Raw genomic sequence first — 16,093 nt, forward strand, 5'->3', positions numbered from 1 at the left:
TTTTTTTGTTTTTTTGAGATGGAGTTTCGCTCTTGTTGCCCAGGCTGGAGTGGCATGGTGTGATCTCGGCACACCTGCAACCTCCACCTCCCAGGTTCAAGCGAGATTCTCCTACCTCAGCCTCCCGAGTAGCTGGGACTACAGGTACGCGCCACCACACCTGGCTAATTTTGTATTTTTAGCAGAGACAGGGTTTCTCCATGTTGGTTATGCTGGTCTGGAACTCCAGACCCCAGGTGATCTGCCCACCTAGGCCTCCCAAAGTGCTGGGATTACAGATGTGAGCCATTGCACCCAGCCCAACATGGGCTACTTTTAATGGAAAAGAAAGAATGGCTCAGAAGGTGGGACCGAGAGTGCAGTGGGTGGAGCCAAAAGCAAGGTGGACAACTTCCAGGTGTAGGACCAAGCCCTATCAAGGAACTGGCAACATACGCTCAGCTGGATTTCAGAATCGCTGTGCGCCAGTGGCTGCTGTGTGCCTCCCATTTCCCCCCTTTTTGAACAGAAGCGTCTGCAGCGATTATCCTGTGCTTGCTCCACTATTGTACAATATATTGGGTGCAGTGAGCAGAGAGGCAGCTTGTCCTTTGATTCCCAAGTCTTCAGGTGGAGAGGAACTGCACTGCAGGGGCTCTACTCCAGGAACAGCACCCAAGGAGCCTCAGCCACTCCTGCACCTGATTTATATGTCAAGATCATGGACCTTGAGCCCCAGCCTGATGCTACAGGAGATACAATGTTTAAGGGGTTTAGGGCAGGGGAGTGAGTCTACTTTGCATGTAGGGGAAAATGTAGGTAATGTATGTCCAACGGGCAAATTGTGATGATTTTAAAATATGTCCACAAATTCTATGATATTCTTCTCAGCAGAAGGTAGAGCCTAATTCCCCTTCCCTTGAATCGTGGCTGGCCTCAGCAACTAACTTTTAACCCATAAAATATGGCAGAAGTGAATCTGTAAGATTTCTCCGAGGAGGTCACCAAAGGGGACACAGCTTTTGCCTTCTTCTCTTCTCTCTGGGGATGTTTACCTTCGGAACCCAGCCAGCACTGTGTGAAAAAGCCAAGGAGCCCCATGGAAAGGTCAAGTGGAGGGGCTGTGGCCATAGGCCCTGCTGAGCTCCCAGCACCAACTAGCTGACCTGTGAGATTTCAGATGATTCCAGCCACCAGCCTCAAATCACCCCTGCTGATGCCAAGAGAAGCAAAGACAAACTGTCCTTCTCAAGCCCTGCCCAAATTACAAATTAATGAGCAAAATAAATGCAGTCATTATGTTAAGGAACAAAGTTTAGAGTGATTTGTTATGCAGCAACAGGTAACCAGATATTGATATGCAAATGCCTACTCAGAATATCCACATTATCGGTCAGGTACAGTGGCTGATACCTATAATCCCAGCACTTCAGGAAACTGAGATGGGATCGTTTGAGACCAAGACCAGCCTCAGCAACACAGTGAGATCCCATCTCTATAAAAATTAAAAAATTAGCAGGGTGCAGTGGCACATACCTGTGGTTCCAGCCACTTGGGAGGTTGAGGTGGGAGGATTGCTGAGCCGAGGTGGTTGAGGTTGCAGTGAGCCATGATCATGCTACTGCACTCCAGCCTAGGTAACAGAGCAAGACCCTGTCTCCAAAGAAAGAAAGAAAAAAAATCCACATATTGAAATACAATCTTGCAGCAGTTGCAACATTTTATACATTCTGAATTACAATGGCTTCATGGTCCCCAGCTTTATCACTTACTAATTGTGGGACCTTCAGCAAGTCAGTCTCCTGAGCTTTAGTTTCTGTAGCTGTAAAGTAAAGATTAGAATACCTGTCATTTTATTTTTCCAGCTTTATTGAGGCATAATTGACATATAAAACTATATATATATATATTCTTTTTCTCTTTCTTTCTCTCTCTCTTTCTTTCTTTCTTTTTTTTCTTTCTTTCTTCTTTCTTTTTTTTTGAAATAGGGTCTTGATCTGTTGCCCAGGGTGGAGTGAAGTGGCACAACCATAGCTCACTACAGCCTTGACTTCCTGGGTGCAAACAATCCTCCTGCCTCAGCCTCCCAAAGTGCTGGGGTTACAGATGTGTGCCACCATGCCTGGCCAAAATTATATATATTTAAGGAGTACAGTGTGATGACCAATATACTATACATTGTGAAATGATTACCACAATCAAGTTAGTTAACACATTCATCACCTACAAAGCCTACCACTTGTGTGTGTGTTTAGTGAGAACACGTAAGATCTACTGTCTTAGCAAGTTTTAAGTACACAATACCATATCATTAACTAGAGTTATAGGACTTTCTCCTTAGTTCAGCTGAAAGCCTAGTTCTTGTCACATGGCCATGAGAGATTAGGTTCACAGACAATTTGGAGGATGAGAAAAATGGAATTTATTAGGCAAAAAGGAAAAAAAAAAAGGGAAACGGACTCTCGGCAGAGTGAGAGTCCTGCTAGCTGGTTTTCCAGAATCACAGATTGAATTCCAGGTTCCACCCTGGAACCGGAGAGGCCAGCTCCTCTCTGCCTGCAAATGGGGCGAAATTCCGGAGGCTCCACCCCAGTGCGCACTCCTTGGCTGTCTCAGTCACCATGTTGTATATCAGTACTTGTCTTATTTTAGAAAATCAACTGTGAAAGCCATGTAGCAAGAAGAAAAATGGTAATATATCGTAGGCTATTGTTCTGTGAAATGGCCATATATGCAAAGCTGCTCCCAAATGCTGAAGAGCCAAGAAACCAAAGAAGGTGGCCAACAAATCCAGTGTGTCAGTAAAGGGTATTTTATTGGGGAACTTACAGACAGAAGCGTGGTCTTGGGCAGCAGCAAGACAGGTAGATCTCTGCACTGTTATTGAACAGGCAAGAAGGCTGTGCGTCATGTCCTATAATTTGTGTGATAACATCAAAGTTGACATGTTCTTAGACTAAGGACAGCAAATAAAGTAGGAAGCAGGAGGCATTCACGGGACTGGAGCTAATCAGAAATCAACCGGACAGGTTAGCATCTAAGAGGGATCCACTTTTGTCTCCATAGTTATAACGCTAAAATCAAATGATTACAACTTTAAGTGTGTATAGAAGAGAAGTAGAGGGATTAGAGGAGTGGGTGGGGATGATTTTTTCTTCCATTACCCAAATTTTCTATAATATTTTTACTTTAGTAATCCAAAGAAATGCATATATTTTAAAATTTTTTTATTGTGCATTTCCAGTCCATACCCAGTTAGTTCTTTTCACTGACCTCCCTTCCTGTTAAATCGGGTGAAGTGGCTTGGAAGAGGAGCAGGGATGAAGCAGTATCCTATTTCTTGGAGCTTAGGGATCAACAGAGAATTAACTCTAGGACCCAGATTGCCTGCCTTCCCAACCTATGCCCAATTCCTTGCCCTGTAACCCTCCAATACTAGTTAGTTCTCACCTATATAAGCTGAGTATTGGATCCAGTGCCACATTAAATGCCCATTATTTGTGTAAGCAGAAGTTGCAGCTTTCTGAGCTTAGAGGCGATGTCATCCAGTGGTTGGAGGAGTTGGTCAAAATGCATGGGTTGGACACCTACCTCCACCATGTATTGCCTGGGGGCTTGGCAGATGTAATTAAGGACCTCAAGGTGAGATCATTCTGGATCAGGTGGGCCCTAAATCCAATGACAAGTGTCCTTCTAAGACAGGAAGACACAACAGAGAGCAGGAGGCCATGTGAAGACAGAAACAGAGATTCACAAGCCAAGGAATGCCTTGGGCCACCAGAAGCTGGAAGAAGGAAGGAACACATTCTCTCTTAGAGCCCCAGAGAGAGCCCAGCCCAGCCCACCTCTTGATTTCAGAGTTCTGGCCTCCAGAACTCTGAGAGAATAAATTTTCGTTTTATTAAGTCACCCAGTTTGTGGTTGTTTGCTACGACAATTCTGGGAAATTAATATGATGGATGGGTCTCACAATCCTAATACTGAAAGAAAAAAATCCAAGTTACAGAAAACACGGATACCATCTCAACAGCGTTTCAGAAACGTGAAACCCGTACATTGTACCGTTTAGGAACACATATGTATCGGCAAAAGCGTAATGAAACAAATGGGAATGATGAACACCAAATTTAGAGAAGTGGAAACTGTAAAGAGAAGGAAGGGAATACAGCTGAGGGGGCACAAAGGCTTCACCTGTTTGGATGGTAATGCGTTTCCCAAGCTGAGTGGCAGAGTCAAGTAGAATCAGTATCATAGGTTTACACCTTTGTGTAGGACTTAACTATTTCATTACAATAAAATTTAAAAGGGAAGAAATGAAAAAGGACAAAAAGGAAGGTTAATAGCACATTGAAGATGGGGGAGCTTCTTTCTTGGATAAACATACAACCATTCAAGGTCAAAGCGGGATGATTTGGTGCATATGTATCTCCTGCTACTTAATAACCAGGTGAAATTCAGTTTGTTAATATTCAGTGTTCTGATGTTGCTTATAAATAATTCCAACAGTAACCTTTTCATTGGAAAAACACCTGTACAGTGCCAACTCTGATTACTCCCTGTGGATATTGCTTAGCTAAAAATTAATATATCATACTTTCTAGAATGACAGACTGTGGGCTGGAATAAGAGAAAACAGTAATTTATAAGATGGAGTAATTATTGGAGGATTCAGGTACCATTTACTGACTTTTTTTCTTTATCCTGAAGCCAACAAAATTATCGAGTCCACATTCTCAGTCTTTTATTAGCCTTTATCTTAGGTTGTCTATCAAAAACAATATTTCTGTGGATTAATAAACACCACAAACACATAATAAACTGCACAGGCCCCTGGTGTTCCTAGGCAATACGTGAGCTAAGCTGAAGACCATCAAAGTGAGCTGGCCAGCGCTTGCTACCTCGGCGTGGCTGAGGCCTCCTCGCTGGCTGCACTACCGATAATATGCACGAGGTGGCAGCAACGTCACGGCCGCCAGCCCGGGGCCTCCACGGGCGACTGAGGCTGCGCAGTTGACTTCCTCATCACCAACAGGGCAGTCTTGGTTTCAAAACCAGATCTGGTTGTTTCTTTGAGCGCTAGGATTTAGACAAACATTGTGATTATTTTCAATTAAAAATTATTCATGCCAAACATACAACCATAATTCGATATCTAGTATAAGTAGCCTTCTCTTTCCTTTTTTTTTCCGGACACTCAATGGTGAAATGCTTCATTACTTTAAAAACATGCCCAGGCCGAACGATGGGGACTCTAAAAAGATCAGCGGTTTGCCAGGGGTTGGGGAGGAGGGAGATGAATAGGTGGAGCACGGAGGATTTTTAAGGCAGTGAAAATACTCTGTATTATAGCATAATGAGTTCTATGTAGTTATAAATTTGTCCAAACACATAGAATGTACACCATAAAGAGTGAACACATAGAATCCCAGCACTTGGGACTAAGGTAAGTTGTGGACTTTGGGTGATAAGGTAACAAATGTACCCTCTGGGGAATGTTGATAAGGGGGGAGGCAGTGCATATGCAGGGCAGGGGTGGGGATATGGGAAATCTGTGTACCTTCTACTCAATTTTGCTGTAAACATAAAACTGCTCTAAAAAAAATAAAATCTTTTAAAAATGCCTATTTCCAAAAGTGTGCTAGGTATGTCAACATTTAAAAAATAATGACAATTATATAGGAAAGGTACCCTGAAAATCTATATCTACAATATTCAAAGAGAAACAGTCTTCCAAATAATTAGCATTTTATGAAGGACAGAATCATTTGACAGCAGGTAAATTACAACTGGCTCCAGCCATCTCTTCTTGTAGGGCATTATTGCTAAAATTCAGAATCAGCTGAGAAATGGCACATCAAGGCTGTGTCTTTCTGTGCCAGATTTGGAAGCTCTGAACCCTTGTCAGCCCAACTTCTGAAGGATGATTAGATGGTGGCCTTCAGAATTTTCTTAGCAGATGCTGCCTAATTTTCTGCCTCATTTTGTGGAATCTAGGATGTCTCTTCTGTATAATGAACTTAATACCACTCCTACCGACCTACAGGTTACTGTGAGACTCAAATGGAATAATCTAGATTCTCAATAAATATTTGTTGAATAAATGATAATGAGAGGACTTTAAAAACTGTACTTTTATAGACTACCAAAAATACATAATGATAGAGTTTTGTAACTGTGATATAATGAGAAATATGTATTTGTTCTAACTCCAATTCCTGGCACAGAGCTTCTAAAACCCTTGGAATTTTCCAAGTGATGGGGTGAGAGGAGTGTCTTTTGTTCTTCATAATAAGCATTTCAACCACACCTGAGTCCACCACACCTGAGTCCACTTTAGAGGATGGGGCTGGTTGCCAGAGGAACCCACCATGTGATTAGAGGGTTGGAACTTTCAGTCCCACTCCCAGACCTCTGGGGAGGGAAGAGAGAAGGTGGCCATTGAGTTCAGTCACAAATGGCCAATGATTTAATCAAGCATGCCTACGTAGCGGAGCCTCCATAACCACTCTAGATGACGGGGTCTGGAGAGCTTCCAGGTTGAATATATCCATGTGCCAGGAGGGTGGTGCACCCCAGACTCCACAGGGACACAAGCTCCTGTGTTCAGGATCCTTCCCGACCGCCCCCTAGGTACCTCTTCATCTGACTGTTCATTTGTTGTCTTCACTATATCCTTTATAATAATCTGGCAATAGCAAAGTGTTTCCCTAAGTTCTGTGTGCCGGTGAGGTGTCAGAACCCTGGCATCAGAAAGTAGTTGACTCCTGGTTTGGTAGGAAGATTTTACTGACAACAGTATAGGTTTGAAAAAAGAAAGAAGACCAGGCGTGGTGGCTCATGCCTGTAATCCCAGCACTTTGGGAGGCCAAGGCGGGCAGATCACCTGAGGTCGGGAGTTCGAGACCAGCCCAACCAACACGGAGAAACCCCGTTTCTACTAAAAATACAAAATTAGCCGGGCATGGTGGCGCATGACTCTAATCCCAGCTACTCGGGAGGCTGAGGTAGGAGAATCACTTGAACCCGGGAGGCGGAGGTTGCGGTGAGCTGAGATCGCGCCATTGTACTCCAGCCTGCGCAGCAAGAGCAAAACTCCGTCTCAAAAAAAGAAAGTTAGAAAGAAAGAATACTGCAGAATAGTGCAGCGGGGCATCTCAGAAAGAGGACTGAGCGCACCCCACACTGCTTTTTTTTTCTTAGGGGTATTTATGGACCTTAAGGCAGGAGCTGAAGGGTAATTTGGGCCATATTAGCCTTGTAGGTCATGATAAATGATTACATTTGTAGACATTTTGGTGCCTTAATGTCAGCAAGGGTTGCACACTGAGTTTCCGCATGGCATTCTGGAGATGTATAGAAATTCTAGTTACTTATACATTTTAAGTTGAAAAAGGCCTGGAACCAGAAGCTGACTTTAGATACTAGGGAAGTTTAATTACTTCTAAATTCCCCAGATAAGGAGTTTTGGCTGTTTGATAGTCACCAGGTGTCTTTGCTCCCTTCTAAGTTCCTCAGATAAGGAGTTTTTGTCTCCAGGGTTTGCTCAATGGTCACCAGCTGATTTCACTCTCGTCGCTGTGAGGGGCTAGAGCAAAAGGTGGAACCTAAGTGGGACATGGAAGTCTGGTTTGTAGCCAAGTCAGACAGAAGCGTGAGTCACCCAGGGACCCCTGACTTGCAACTGGCATCTGAAGTTGTAAGTGGGCAGTTTTGTGGGACTGGGTACTTAACCTGTGGGGTCTGTGTGAACTCCGGGTAGTGTCAGAATTGAATTAAATGGTAAGACACAAAGTTGGTGTCAGAGAGTTGGAAAATTTGTTAGTATGAGGGGAAAAAAACCCCATGCATTTGGTGTCAGGAGTATCATGAGAAACATTTTTTTCCTTTAGTAATTAAAACACATATTGTAGGAATGATTTTTTCTTTTTTTTTTTTTTTTTTTGAGACGGAGTTTCGCTCTTGTTGCCCAGGCTGGAGTGCAATGGCGTGGTCTCGGCTCACTGCAACCTCCGTCTCCCGGGTTCAAGCGATTCTCCTGCCTCAGCCTCCCGAGTAGCTGAGATTAGAGTCATGCGCCACCATGCCCGGCTAATTTTGTATTTTTAGTAGAAACGGGGTTTCTCCGTGTTGGTCGGGCTGGTCTCGAACTCCCGACCTCAGGTGATCCGCCTGCCTCAGCCTCCCAAAGTGCTGGGATTACAGGCTTGAGCCACCACGCCCAGCAGGAATGATTTTCAAAAATGAAAGAACTATGAATATCCTTCCAACCATTACTGAACAGCGGTTCTCAACACTGGGAAGGTTTTTAAATGTCCCAGTGCTCAGGGGTTTTTTGCCGGCCAGCAGGTGAGAAGCATCCATTGTTCTAGTGGTGTTTGGTTGGTGGGTTGAAGGTCCTCTGGCAATGGTATCATACAGTCAGCATTGACAGGGAAGTTAATGTCATTGTTGAATATTGGCCTTTTTTATGACTGACTTTATACAAAATAAATACACACTTAATGCAGAAAATGTGAAAAGCACAATCAAAACAGAAGTGTTACCGGAAAGCGGTCCCAATCCAGACCTCAAGAGAGGGTTGTCGGACCTCGTGCAAGAAAGAATTTGGGGTGAGTCCATAGAGCCGAGTGAAAGCAAGTTTATTAAGAAGGTAAAGAAACAAAAGTGCTGGGCACAGTGGCTCACACCTGCTGGGAGGCCCAGGCAGGAAGATGGCTTGAGCCCAGGAGTTCAAAACCAGCCTGGGCAACATAGCGAGACCCCAATCCCTAAAAATAAAAAAGAAAAGAAAAAGAAACAAAAAATGAAAGAAAAGAATGGCTACTCCATAGGCAGAGCAGTGGCATGGGCTGCTCAGCTGAGTATACTTACATTAATAGTTACTTCTTGATTATGTGCTAAACAAGGGGTGGATTGGATTATTCATGAGTTTTCCAGGAAAGGGATGGGCAATTCGCTGCTGTGAGAGTTCCTCCCACTTTTAGACCATATAGGGTAACTTCCTGACATTGCCATGGCATTTGTAAACTGTCATGGGGCTGGTGGGAGTGTCTCTTAGCATGCTAATGCATCATAATTAACACATAATGAGCAGTGAGGATGACCAGAGGTCACTTTCATCACCCTCTTGGTTTTGGTGGGTTTTGGCCGGCTTGTTTGCCACAACCTGTTTATCAGCAGGGTCTTTGTGACCTGAATCTTGTGGTGACCTCCTATCATCCTGTGACTAAGAATGCCTTAACCTCCTATTAATGCAGCCCAGTAGGTCTCAGCCTCACTTTACTCAGCCCCTATTCAAGATGGAGTCGCTCTGGTTCAAACACCTCAGACAAAAGCACTCCAAATCTGTCACTGCTGTTAATATGTTGGCGTGTGCCCTTGCAGGGTTTTTTTTCTTGTGCATAAATATGTATTTCTAAAATGAAAATGGAATCCTGCATGTCTTATGGCCAGCTTTGTTCACTCAGGAACACAATGTGGACATTTCCCCATGCCAATACTTTTTTCTATGACACAGTTTTTTAATTAATTAATTTATTTAGAGACAGAGTCTCACTCTGTTGCCCAGGCTGGAGTGCAGTGGTGCTATCTTGGCTCACTGCAACTTCCGCCTCCTGGGTTCAAACCCGATTCTCCTGCCTCCGTCTCCTGAGGAGCTGGGATTACAGGCACCCACCATCATGGCTGGCTAATTTTTGTATTTTCAGTAGAGATGGTGTTTCACCATGTTGGCCAGGCTGGTCTTGAACTCCTGACCTCAAGTGATCTGCCTGCCTTGGCCTCCCAAAGTGCTGGAATTACAGGAGTGAGCCACCACGCCGGCCTTATGACAGTTTTTAATAGATATTTTGCAGCTATTGGATGCACAGTTTCTTTAATCTCTTATTATTTAATATTAAGTTGTTTTCAATTATTCTGTGATAAAAACATTAAAAGTTCCTTCAATACACTTTTTTTTTTTGCATACAGCCCTGATAATTTCTTTGAATAATTACTTTTTTTTCTTTCTTTTTTTTTTTTTTTGAGATAGGGTCTCCCTCTCATAGCCCAGGCTGGAGTGCAGTGGCATAATCTCAGCTTACTGCAGCCTCGACTTCCCAAGCTCAGGTGATGCTCCCACCTCAGCCTCCCAAGTAGCTGGGACTACAGGCCCTTGCCACCATGCTGAGCTATTTTTTTTTTTTTTTTTTTTTGTAGTTTTAGTAGAGACAGGGTTTTGCCATGTTGCCCAGGCTGTTCTGAACTCCTGGGCTCAAATGATGCACCTGCCTCAGCCGCCAAAAGTGCTAGGATTACAGGCATGAGCCACCACAGCCAGCCATTCCCTCACTTTTAGTATTTACTCCTGACCAGTTTGGGCAGGATTCTAGATGAGTCAGTGATAGGAAGCTGAGCTTCTTGAAGGTACTCATCAATGAACTACCTCCTCATTTCAGCAGTTCCTCCAGAACAGCTGGCTTTCCTAGCCAATACTATCATGTAGGGTGGCTCAAAATTAGCCAAATATTCACTAAACAGGGGTTCTCAAATTTTGATGTGCATACAAATCACCAGGGGATCTGGTCAAAAATGCAGATTCAGCCCCTGCCTCTCTGGAGTGGGGCCTGAGATTCTGCACCGTTTAACCAGCTCCCAGGGCATGCTGAGACGCTGGTCAGTGGACCACACCTGAGGAGCACAGGCCGCGGCTCTATCACATTAGGCTGAGTATACCTGTGTTTCATCTTTGAGTTTCCCAACTGTATAAACGAAATGACTTCCAAAATAAAGGGGCAGGCTCAAATCAAATATCTATTTTTGATATGTTTCTTCAAGTCAGTTCATTTGAACATTGTTTTTGAAAGAAAAATTTTTTTGCTCTTTATTTTTAATCCTCTCTAATTTCCAGGTGACTACAGGCAGCTTTTCTTTAAACATTAGTAATTATATAAAAGAGAAATTCTAAGATTTTATAGCTGAAATTGATATATCAAAGATTTCAAAAGTGAACAAAGCAGAAATATTCTTTCATCCATTCATTATAGGAATCGTTTCACTTTCATGGCTGGCTTGTCTGAAGTATAATGAACATGCTTAGTAACTGGTAGAAAGTTTTGGGAAACATGAGTTTTTTGGGGTTTTTTTTGGCCAGATTAAAATAAATACTGCTCAGTTTTTGTTTTAATATTTGGAATATTGACACTTGGCATTTAAATAACTTAAATTCTTTTTTTAACTTTCATTTTAGATTTGTGGTACAGTAGTAGCTTTGTTATATAGGTAAGCTCATGCCACGAGGGTTTGTTGTACAGATTATTTCATCACCCAGGTGCTAGGCCTAGTACCCAATAGTTATTTTTTCTGCTCCTCTCCCTCCTCCCACTCTCCATCCTCAAGTAGGCCCCAGCGTCTGTTATTCCCCTCTTTGTGTCCATGAGTTCTCATCATTTAGCTCCCACTTATAAGTGAGAACATGTGGTATTTGGTTTTCTGTTCCTGCGTTAATTTGCTAAGGATAATGCTTCCGGCTCCATCCATGTTCCCACAAAAGACGTGATCTCGTTCTCTTTTTATGACTGCATAGTATTCCATGGTGTATATGTACCACATTTTGTTTATCCAATCTGCCACTGATGAGCATTTAGGTTGGTTCCATGTCTTTTTTTTTTATTCCATGTCTTTGCTATTGTGAACAGTGCTGCAATGAATATTCGCGTGCATGTGTCTTTATGGTAGAATAATTTATATTCCTCTGGGAATATACCCAATAATGGGATTGTTGGATTGAATGGCTGTTCTGTTTTTAGCTCTTTAGGAATTGCCACATTGCTTTCCACAATGGCTGAACTAACACCAACAGTGTATAAGTGTTTCTTTTCTCTGCAACCTCGCCAGCATCTGTTATTTTTTTGGCTTTTTAATAACAACCTTTCTGACTGGTATGAGATGGTATTTCATTGTGGTTTTGATCTGCATTTCTCTAATAATCAGTGATGTTGAGCTTTTTTTAATATGCTTGTTGGCCACATGTATGTCTTCTTTTGAGAAGTATCTGTTCATGTCTTTTGCCCACTTTTTAATGGGGTTGTTTTTTTCTTGTAAATTTGTTTACGTTCCTTATAGATGCTGGATATTAGACCGTTGTCAGATTCATGGATTGCAAAAATGTTCTCCCATTCTGTAGGTTTTCTGTTTACTTCATTTACTCTTTGCTGTGCAGAAGCTCTTAAGTTTAATTAGACCCCATTTGTCAATTTTGCTTTTGTTGCAATTGCTTTTGGCATCTTCATCATGAAATCTTTGCCAGTTCCTGTGTCCAGAATCGTATTGCCTAGGTTGTCTTCCAAGGTTTTTATAGTTTTGGGTTTTACATTTAAGTCTTTAATCCATCTCTTTGTGTGTGTGTGTGTGTGCGTGTGTGTTTTGTTTGTTTGTTTTGTTTTGTTTTGAGACAGAGTCTTGCTCTGTCACCCAGGCTGGAGTGCAGTGGCTCACTGCAACCTCCACTTCCCGGGTTCAAGCAATTCTCGTGCCTCAGCCTCCCAAGTAGCTGGGATTACAGGTTTGCACCACCATGCCCAGCTAACTTTTGGCATTTTTAGTAAAGACAGGGTTTCACCATGTTGGCCAGGCTGGTCTCGAACTCCTGGCCTCAAGTGATCCACCCGCCTCAGCCTCCCAAAGTGTTGGGATTACAGGCGTGAGCCACCGCACATGGTCGCTTTAATCCGTCTTGACTTGATTTTTGTATATGGTGTAAAAAGGGAAACGTTTAAATTCTTAAAAATTTAAATTGATAAAAACTGTATAATTTATTGTGTGCAACCTGTTATTTTGAAATATGTATACATTGTGGAATGGCTAAATCAAGCAAATTAACATATGTATTACTTCACATATTTTTTGATGGTAAGAACACTCAAAACCTACTCTCTTAGCAATGTTTAAGAATATAATACATTGGCTGGGAGCAGTGGCTCATGCCTGTAATCCCAGCACTTTGGGAGGCAGAGGTGGGCAGATTACCTGAGGTCAGGAGTTCGAGACCAGCCTGGCCAACATGGTGAAACCCTGTCTCTACTAAAAATACGAAAATTAGCCAGGCATGGTGGCACACGCCTGTAATCCCAGCTACTGGGGGGACTGAGGCAGGAGAATTGCTTGAGCCCAGGAGGTGGAGGTTGCAGTGAGCCGAGATTGTGCCACTGCACTCCAGTCTGGCTGACAGAGTGAGAGACTCTGTCTCAAAACAAACAAACAAAACAAAACAAAAAACAATACATTGTTATTAAGTATGGTCACCATGTTGCACAATGCATCTCTTGAACTTATTCCTCCTATCTAACCGATATTTTGTATCCTTTGACCAACATCTCCCCAGATTCCCACTCCTTCCCAGCCTCTGGTAACCACCAACTACTCTCTGCTTCTATGACTTTGACTTTTTAAGAGTCCACTTATGAGTGAGATTATGCAGTACTTGCCTTTCTGTGCCTGGTTTATTTCACTTAACATAATGTCCTCCAGGATCATCCATGTTGTCAAAAATAAACAGATTTTTTTTAAAAGGCTGAATAGTATAAATATTATTACAACAGAAAAATGCTCCAGGCGCGGTGGCTCACGCCTGTAATCCCAGCACTTTGCGAGGCCAAGGCGGGTGGATTACCTGAGGTCAGGTGTTTGAGACCAACCTGGCCCAACATGGTGAAAACCCCATCTCTACTAAAAATACAAAAAATTAGCCGGGCATGGTGGCAGGTGCCTGTAGTCTCAGCTAGTCAGGAGGCTGAGGCAGGAGAATTGTTTGAACCTGGGAGGTGAAGGGTGCAGTGAGCCAAGGGTGCAGTGAGCCAAGGGTGCAGTGAGCCATTGCACTCCAGCCTGGGTGACAGAGCAAGACTAAGCCTAAAAAAAAAAAAAAAAAAAAAAAACAGAAAAGAAAAGAAAAATGCATGTGCATTGTAGAAAATTTGGACACATTGAAAAGTAGAAAATAAAAATTACTCCTGTATCTCCTTACCCAGATACAATCATTATTAAAAATCTGTAACAAACACCTCCAGATGCCTCAGCAAATTAGGGAAATTCTCATTTCTTCTGTCTCATAAAATTCTACACCTCATTTCCAGACACAAATCTTGTCCAATTTCACTGCCCCTTATCCTAGGAAGCAGGCATAGTCAATCCAAGACACTCTTAAGAACTACTTCTTTACTTTTCTTTTTCCTTTTTTCTTTTTCTCTTCTATTTTTTTTTTTCCAGACAGAAAAAAATGGCTTTGTCACTCAGGCCATAGTGCAGTGGTGTGATCTCAGCTCACTGCAACCTCTACCTTCCAGGTTCAAATGATCCTCCTGCCTAAGCCTCCTGAGTGGTTGGGACTACATGCATGCACCACCACGCCCAGCTAGTTTTTCTATTTTTGGTAGAGATGGGGTTTTGCCATGTTGCCCAGGCTTGCCTCAAACTCCTGGGCTCAGGCAATCTGCCTGTCTCAGCCTTCCAAAGTGCTGGGATTACAGGCATGAGCCACTATCCCCAGCCAAGAATGATTTCTTCTTTATATCCTTTCTGAGTCATATAAAATATGTTTTACTTGGGGAAAGCTATTAAATCATCTAAAATTTTATATTTATTTTCATAGTGAAATTACTCCACTTGTTTTACAAGTGGAAATTTAATTGTTTAATAGTTTCTGAGTTTTTTTCCCCAACATCAGTTTAGCAACCCCTCCTTAGTAAGATGGTAGCCCACCCTACAACAAGCTAATGAAGCACATTAAACCCTGCTTGTCAACTCACATACTGTGCCCAATCAGTTAAAATACTAGAGGGTACTGCAGAATAATTACTAGAACTAAGATTTGATCAGTGTTTCAGGATTTACATTGTGTCCATATGCAGACATTTCACATGCACTTTATTATGTTGTCACCATGGCAACTCTGTGAAACACTAGTTTTATCTCTGTTTTATAAGTGAGGAAACTGAGATTCAAAGACATTAAGTGATTTTCTAAAAATCTCATGTTCAGGAAGTGGAACAGAAAATGGTACCTATTAAAATTTTCTATTACCGATTAGTTTTTGTTCCTAATTTCCTATTCAAATGTTCAGAATTGAAATGCCTTTATTTAAAAATAGAAGATACATACTGGAACTATGTACACTATCTTTTCAATTTTTCTATAAATGTAAAACTAAAATAAAAGGTTTATTTACATGTAAAATAAGATATATAATCTTACAAAATTACATACACTGTGTTAAAATATTTTTTATGTAAATAGTTCCTTCCTAACTCCATTTCTGTCTTTACTGCTTTTAAAATCTTGTGATTAGCCAGGAGTAGTGGCATGTGCCTGTAGTCCTAGCTACTCTCAAGGTTGAGGCAGGAGGATCACTTGAGCCCCGGAGTTCAAGGTCAGCCTGGGCAACAAGCGAGAACCCCATCTCTTAAAAAAAAAAAAATCCTGTGATGTTTGGCAAACACAGACCCCTGGTTAAAGGCTAGACCGCTGCGATCTTCCAGCTGACAGACCATAGCCCACAGAATCGAGAGTCTCTGGGTATGATGAAGCATCTCTTCCAATGTGGCCAAATACATTTCCCCATTAGGTCTCTAACTCTTTCAGCCCCAGAGAAGTGCTGGCTTCCATAAATAAAATTTCACTCCTTTTGGAAGATGAGTGTTCCTAGGGGTGATTGCCCTAGAACACTGGATGTACTTCAGGTCCCAACTCAACAAGCCTGTGCCCCTCACTGGCCAAGAGCCCACAGCATTGCCTCTGAATTTTCTCTAGAGTTTCATCGCAATGACTAGCTGGTCACTCTTCTGGTAGAAGTGGGGACCCCAGGAGAGGACTCCAAGTATCACTTGGCTTTCCTGATGACACTTAATGTCCCCTTTCTTTTAGTGGTAACAAAATCTAACTATTTAACAACCCTTGTTGTTAAAGAGGATCCCATCTTTGCCACCTCTTTTTCATCTTCTGTCTTCTGAGGATGGGTCTGCCAGATGTGTTCTCTGGACTTTTAGGAAATTGAATTTGGAGGAAAGGGAAGAAGATTGAGGACAAGAAGCACTCAGGTTAGTGGTGGTAGAGAAATTTCTCAGAGAAAACCCCTGCTTTT

The sequence above is a fragment of the Homo sapiens genome, chromosome 2, assembly GCF_000001405.40.
Source record: "Homo sapiens chromosome 2, GRCh38.p14 Primary Assembly".
In the NCBI taxonomy this organism is placed as follows: Eukaryota; Metazoa; Chordata; class Mammalia; order Primates; family Hominidae; genus Homo; species Homo sapiens.